Genomic DNA, 6,304 nt, shown 5'->3' with positions numbered 1-6,304 from the left:
TTGCAAGTGCTTCTCAATGTTTCAAAATTACATTTGAGTACAAAGTCTTCTGAAACTTCTCACAGCTTCAGCTAATTCCATTTCTGTTTGAGATTTCACCGATTCTTGTAATATTCAAAATACGAGCAGAAATCTACCCTAAAAGCATACTAAGCAATAGAATGCTGTCGAAAGTGTGGAAGTTACTCTCAGACAAATTAATTGAGGATTCAAGTATGCAGCATTTGCTGTTGGTCTAGAGAAATTAAGAAGGTCTAAATTTCAAGGAATAAGGCCAGTAAAGAGGTGATATTTAATCACAAATAATAATCTGAGACCTGAGAGGGCAGAAACAGGGGAAGATGCTTATGTAAGAGACTCATAAGCTTATAAAAGACTCACCCTTTACTTATTTATGATCCTATTCCACCCAAATATTACATGACAATTTCAGCATTAAGATTTGAAACCACCATGTGGCTATATAGAGCAAATGGTGCTGAAGTGACTTGAAAGTATTAATACCTTTTCCAAAAGAATAAGTGCATGTCATCAAAGGTGCACTGAACTTTTACTCAGGGAGTTCATTCCTGGAAGATTCTGATTACTCAAAAGAATTATGGGGCCAAGTCATGATGGTTTTGGAGAGCAGCCTAGTCTAAAATTGATCATTTAAAAAAACCAGTAATACTATTTAAGATGAGAGTGAAGGGCTCATCTTAATACCAATATATACTGGATAAAACTATTATCCAAAGAAAGATTGCAGTAATATGCAGAGAATCAGTTGATGGGAAGCTCAAATAATAAAATAGTAAAACAATGGTAAAGTGCATTAAAAGGAAGTACTTTTTTCTTGTGTTCAAAGGGTGACTATACAAATCTTACAAAATTACATAGCATAAAATAATAGCATAATATTTAAGATGTATATGTTTATTAATATCTTATAAAATATAGCAAGCAATTTAGGAATAACAGTTAAGTTTAATATAAGCTAGAATATGAGCATCACTAGTAATTTACTTTGATACAGTAAAATATAACAAAATAGAGTAAGCTAAAAATAGATTCACATCTTTTCCTGAGTAGTACACTTTCAATTTTCCTGGGGCTGTGACTGCTTTTCTGTGAAAGAATGTGACATCTCTGCTAACTCATTCTCAGGAAAAGGGAGTATTTGATGCCGTAAAAATTAGAAACCAATCTTGGATAAGATCATTGTACAAATGAATCCCTTAATTTTTTTCTAGGTGGAGCTGTGTGAGAGTTTCAGCCTGGATTTTAGACTTTACAAAGCTATATAAGCACAGGTAAATTGGTCTTATCTGGACTTTGGTATCGTGATATTTCTTCACACAGGCATATCCTTTTTCTTCCAGTAGTTTTTGTGCCAGACCAGGACATGGGCTTTACAAAGGAATTTGTTAATTGATATGTAATGTTTTCATTTATCTTCATAAGAAATCTTTATGGCTTACAAGTAACTGAGTAGTTTGTAAACTTCCCCAAGATTCTCAAATAAACAAGGCTTTCTGTTCATATCCAAAGAGCTAAGTTAAATTTTACCTGAATATATTATATATAATGCAGTTAAATATGCCTAAAATCAATAGTAAAAAGAAAATCTATCACCTGGATGAAGCAATCAGTTGGACTAAAAATAGGCAACTTAAAAAATCCTTTACTCTTAGGATGCTTATCCCAGTTCTCTCTTGCCTTGAAACCTTCTGACCAATTTAACTGAATGCAGTTATTAGAGTTTTTTTAAAAAATATTATTGCTTAAGGGGAGCTGGGGGGATTTATTCTTTCTCTTTGTGGCAATGTATTTTCTCTCTGTTTGAAAATGAGGTCTTTCAACCTGAAAGTTTAAAGTGAGTAAAGAGATTTTGAAACTGACCAGCACTGCTTAGGTCTCTAACAGATTAAAGGATTTATGATATTGTTATTAGCTAGTGACATACCTTGGTCAGAAAATGAAAGTCTAATCCACTATAGTGAAACTTTAAAGTTGGTGGAAAAAAGAGTATTGACAGAAGACCATCTTAGAGGGTTCCTGGTGGATACTTGAACCCATCCTGTGTTAATACATCCTGTGGTTATTTACCAGTTGGCGTGTGCTTTCAATTCCTACATTGCTCCCTATAATGAGAACTGTAGCGACTTAAATGGCACTGAAGAAACTCCTGGAAGTGTATTTCCTTAAACAAGAAATAAATCCATGACAATAACAATTCCTGGGATAAGCAAGATTTGGGATAGCTAACTTAACCTCTTTCGTTTTGCCTGTTTAGCCTCTGCAGAATAGGTAGGGATCCTGGAGAACACCAGTGGATCGTCATAAACTTAACCACATGATGAACTCAATTATAGTTGTTCCTACAGTGTAGTTTACTTACTGAAGAAAATCAACATAGATTTGTCAATAGACATGAAACTGACAGTTTGGAAACTTTTCTTTGGTCTGTACCAACAGGTTGTGAACACAGAAAGCAACATGTTTTCAGCTGGCAAATATAACAATATCCTTTTATGTTTTACTTCATTGTTATATAACCTCTCTACTCTATGTTATAATTTTACTATCAAATAACAAGATAATCTCAATGTCCCAAAGGACAACACCTTTGTCCACTATATTGATGATGCAATTCTAATAACAAAGGGTTGGCAAAAAGTAGATACACCCTAGATTTCCAGGAAAGACATATGCTTACAAGAAAATCAAAGATAAATTTGTAAAACTGTCCTCATGCTACTACATAATGATGTTCCTTAGGCTGCACTATTTGCAGACTGTCAAGAGACACCTTCCAAATTGAAAAGCAAGCTGCTTTTAAAAAATAGGTTCAACACTGATAGTAACTGTAGGTTTTTGAATGCAAACTACACCACACCTACTATGTCGTCCACTACCTGGGTTTATAATTTAATCTGTAGCATAAAAGATGTCTGTCAGGAGCTCAGTTGAGAAGGGAGAGAGAAAGAAATAAGTTGTCAGGTGTTGGAGCAACTGATTAATGCAAGACAAAAATGAAAGACTTAAGATTTAAATCAGTGACTGCGATGGTTTGGCAAGAGTCTAAATCGAGAGAACGTGCCTCTTCCCCTTGGAACAGTGCTGCAGTGGAGAGCAAAGAATGAGTGCAGACAGGTGGGCTGTCTCATTGTTGAGGGAGCCCAGAACAAAAGTCTCTGGTAGTTTTATGGACCCTGAAGTGGAAAGAAGGAGAAAGGATGAGAGGGAAAGGCTTAACGTGGAAAAATACTGGATATTAAGTCAGAATGGGGAAAAGTGTCTTTAAGATTTTTCTTTCCTGGCCAGGCGTGGTGGCTCACGCCTGTAATCCCAGCACTTTGGGAGGCCAAGGTCGGCGGATCGCCTGAGCTCAGCGGTTTGAGACCACCCTGGGCAACGTGGTGAAACCCCATCTCTACTAAAATGCAAAAAAAAATCTGCTGGGCGTGGTGGTGCGCATCTGCAGTCCCAGCTACTCCGGAGGGCGAGGCACGAGAATCGCTTGAGCCCGGGAGGCGAAGGTTGCAGTGAGCCGAGATCGCACCACTGCCCAGGCGACAGTGCGAGACTCCGTCTAAAACAAAAATAAACAAACAAAAAGTTCTTTCCTTTCCCCTTACAAAGGCCTCAGCAGAGGCACCGGAAAAGGACCTCAGCCCAAGGCCTCAGATAGGGAGGAAGAGGGTCATGTAAGAGCATGGCTGGCCAGGGAATCCTGAGTCCTTGACTGCATCTCCTTTCAGAGACAGCAGCGTATTGGCTGTGCACGGAGCACGTAGTGTGCACGGTGCACCGCCTTTCCTGTGAGGCCTGCCAGGAAATACCTTTGCAGACTGTTAGGAGATCCCTTCCAAATTGGAAAGCAAGTTGCTTTCAAAAAATAGGTACAGCATTAATAGTATACTGTAGACTTTTGTAGGTCTGTAGCCAGGCCTGAATAATCACCTGTAAGTTTTAAACCAGGAGCCAGATTCCTCAATATCAAAAAGATGGTCATTTTAAGACAAAGTAAATTAATGGTACATCCCCATCAGCAACCGAATTATCTGTTTTGTTCCCTTCGTTTCAATAATAAAACATGTTTAGAGCCCCTTTATATTTTCTTAGTTCTTTATACTTACAACTTCTCTTATTTCTCGTTTCTTGCGTGACATGAACTAAGCCATGTTGTATCACTGGAAAACGTCCATCCATCTCTAAGCCCAGGCCTCAGTGTCATCTACTCTAGGGAGCAATTCCTGACCTTACTAAAAAAAAGTTAAGTAGCTCACTCTCTGTTTTCCCTAAATGCCTTATCATAATGCTTCAAAACTTATAGAGTGTCTTACTGTAGTTGCTCAAAAATATTTCTATGTGATTCAAGCAAAGAAAAACAAAATTACGGTATAGGATGTGAAAATTGAAAGCAATATAATATCAAGTTATTTCTAATTTAAAATAAGATATAATTAAAAGAAATGCAATAATATAGTCTATAAAAACAAAACCTAAACAAAAATAACTGTTTCTATATTAGTGACTAGGTTATACAGCAGTAAAATATAAACCTTGGAATCTCCGTGGCTTAACCCTATTAAGTTCTATTTCTTGCTAATCATCAGGGTATATCCATGAGTCTCTATTTTCTTAATATATAGTCACAGGATTCTTCAAAGCTGGGGAAAAGAAAGATCACATACTAGGTATTAAATGCCGTTGTCTGGAAGTGACACATTTATTCTTAGTGTCCACTGGCCAGAACTGATTTCATGTCTCTAAATCTAAGGGGCATGGAAAATGGAGGGAGGGAAGAGAGCATAAGGAAATATCACAGAAGTAAAATTTCTGTCACACACTTGTTCGTATTACTCCAAATTTTTTTCTAATTCTAAGAAACTAAATCATTCACTTGTTTATATTAAATTAAATTTTATAATGTCATTCATTAAATAAGAGATATTATAGAATTATAAAAGCAAATATTTTAGAATTATAAAGTAATTGGGAATTTCAGATTTAAAATTAAGAGAGAGAAAGGTGTTGGTAACATAGCTTTTAAGATTTTCATTTAGTTCCCACCAGTAGTTTCAATGAAATGCTCTCATTTGTACAAGCTAAAGTGTTGGAACAGAGGTGGATATAAACCTTTATAATACAGACAGTTATATAACAAAAGCAATATTGGTAGCTCAGATTTATCCAAGGTCTGAATCAAACTGTATAATTCCAGGAAATAATTAAAGGACACAGTACCATTTGTTTAGGAAAACCCAGAAGTAAAATGGATATGAGTATGGATAACTACTTCGTTACTTACTAGGAGCTTGATCAGACAAGTAAGTCAGCTCTCTGAGCTACATTCTTGCCATGTCAACTCTTACATAACTGCAGATTACATCAAACTGTATGTGGTGTACAGAGTCTTTCTGAATAATGAATACTTTAACGCTTGTAACTCACCATAGCACAATATACGATGCTGTTTATTTTGTTATTGAGGATAAAAATTATTTAAAATTCCATCTTTAATAGCTTTATGACAAATTCAAACAAAAATAGTAAAAGGAATCGACAATAAACACATGGTAAAGTAAGAAATAGTTGTTGCTTCTCACCACCAAAATAATGATAAATATATTGGAATTAAAGTTAGAGGTAAGAATGTCACTAGTAAACAAATCCTAAAACTTCAGCAGCAGTAATCCATTCTTAGCTTATTCAGTCTTTGGAATACTAATATAAATAAGTTAGTTTTGAAACAATGGTACAGGCTCTTAAAACAAAATATGTAGTGTTAAAATTCGATATATTTATTTTCATAATACCTCAACTGAAAACATGTCATACTGTATTTGAGTTTGAAACTACTTAAAATGATTTGATGAAATCATATTCTTGAAGTTAAAATATGACATAAGAATATCATCTTAGTAGGCTATTATGGATTCTTTGAGAGGACAAGTGGATACTCAGGTGCATATAACATGTGTCTCTCTCTGATCTAAAAATAGCACTTTTCTTTTAACTGAACACACAACTTTTATAATAAGCTGCAAATAAAATATTAGGACCTATTAACATAACATGGAAATCAGCTCACATTGAAAACACGTGAGTTAGAGCTTAAGCTTTTAATATACAGTTATATAAATAAACAAAATGCTTTTTAAGTTTGTCTGTGACACATTCCCTGCACACTTTTTTTCTTACATGATAAAAAAATCTTCATTTCTATGATGCAACATTGGTCATGGTTATATGAGCATATATTGGCATCAACCAAAATATTAACTTTATCTTTTATTTAAACTATTTGCCAAATCAC

At 35.2% G+C, this 6,304-nt stretch overlaps 1 annotated feature.

Moving 5' to 3' along the window:
• Positions 5,279-5,479: a silencer, noted in NCBI's record as "peak4367 fragment used in MPRA reporter construct". NCBI's record gives its function as "represses an SCP1 promoter by STARR-seq MPRAs in K562 erythroleukemia cells {active_cell/tissue: K562}" and the evidence as "EXISTENCE:reporter gene assay evidence [ECO:0000049][PMID:32103011]".

The sequence above is a fragment of the Homo sapiens genome, chromosome 21 (genome assembly GCF_000001405.40).
Source record: "Homo sapiens chromosome 21, GRCh38.p14 Primary Assembly".
Taxonomy (NCBI): Eukaryota; Metazoa; Chordata; class Mammalia; order Primates; family Hominidae; genus Homo; species Homo sapiens.
Note: the sequence above shows the minus strand (reverse complement) of the source record. Positions and strands in the feature narration are given on the sequence as shown.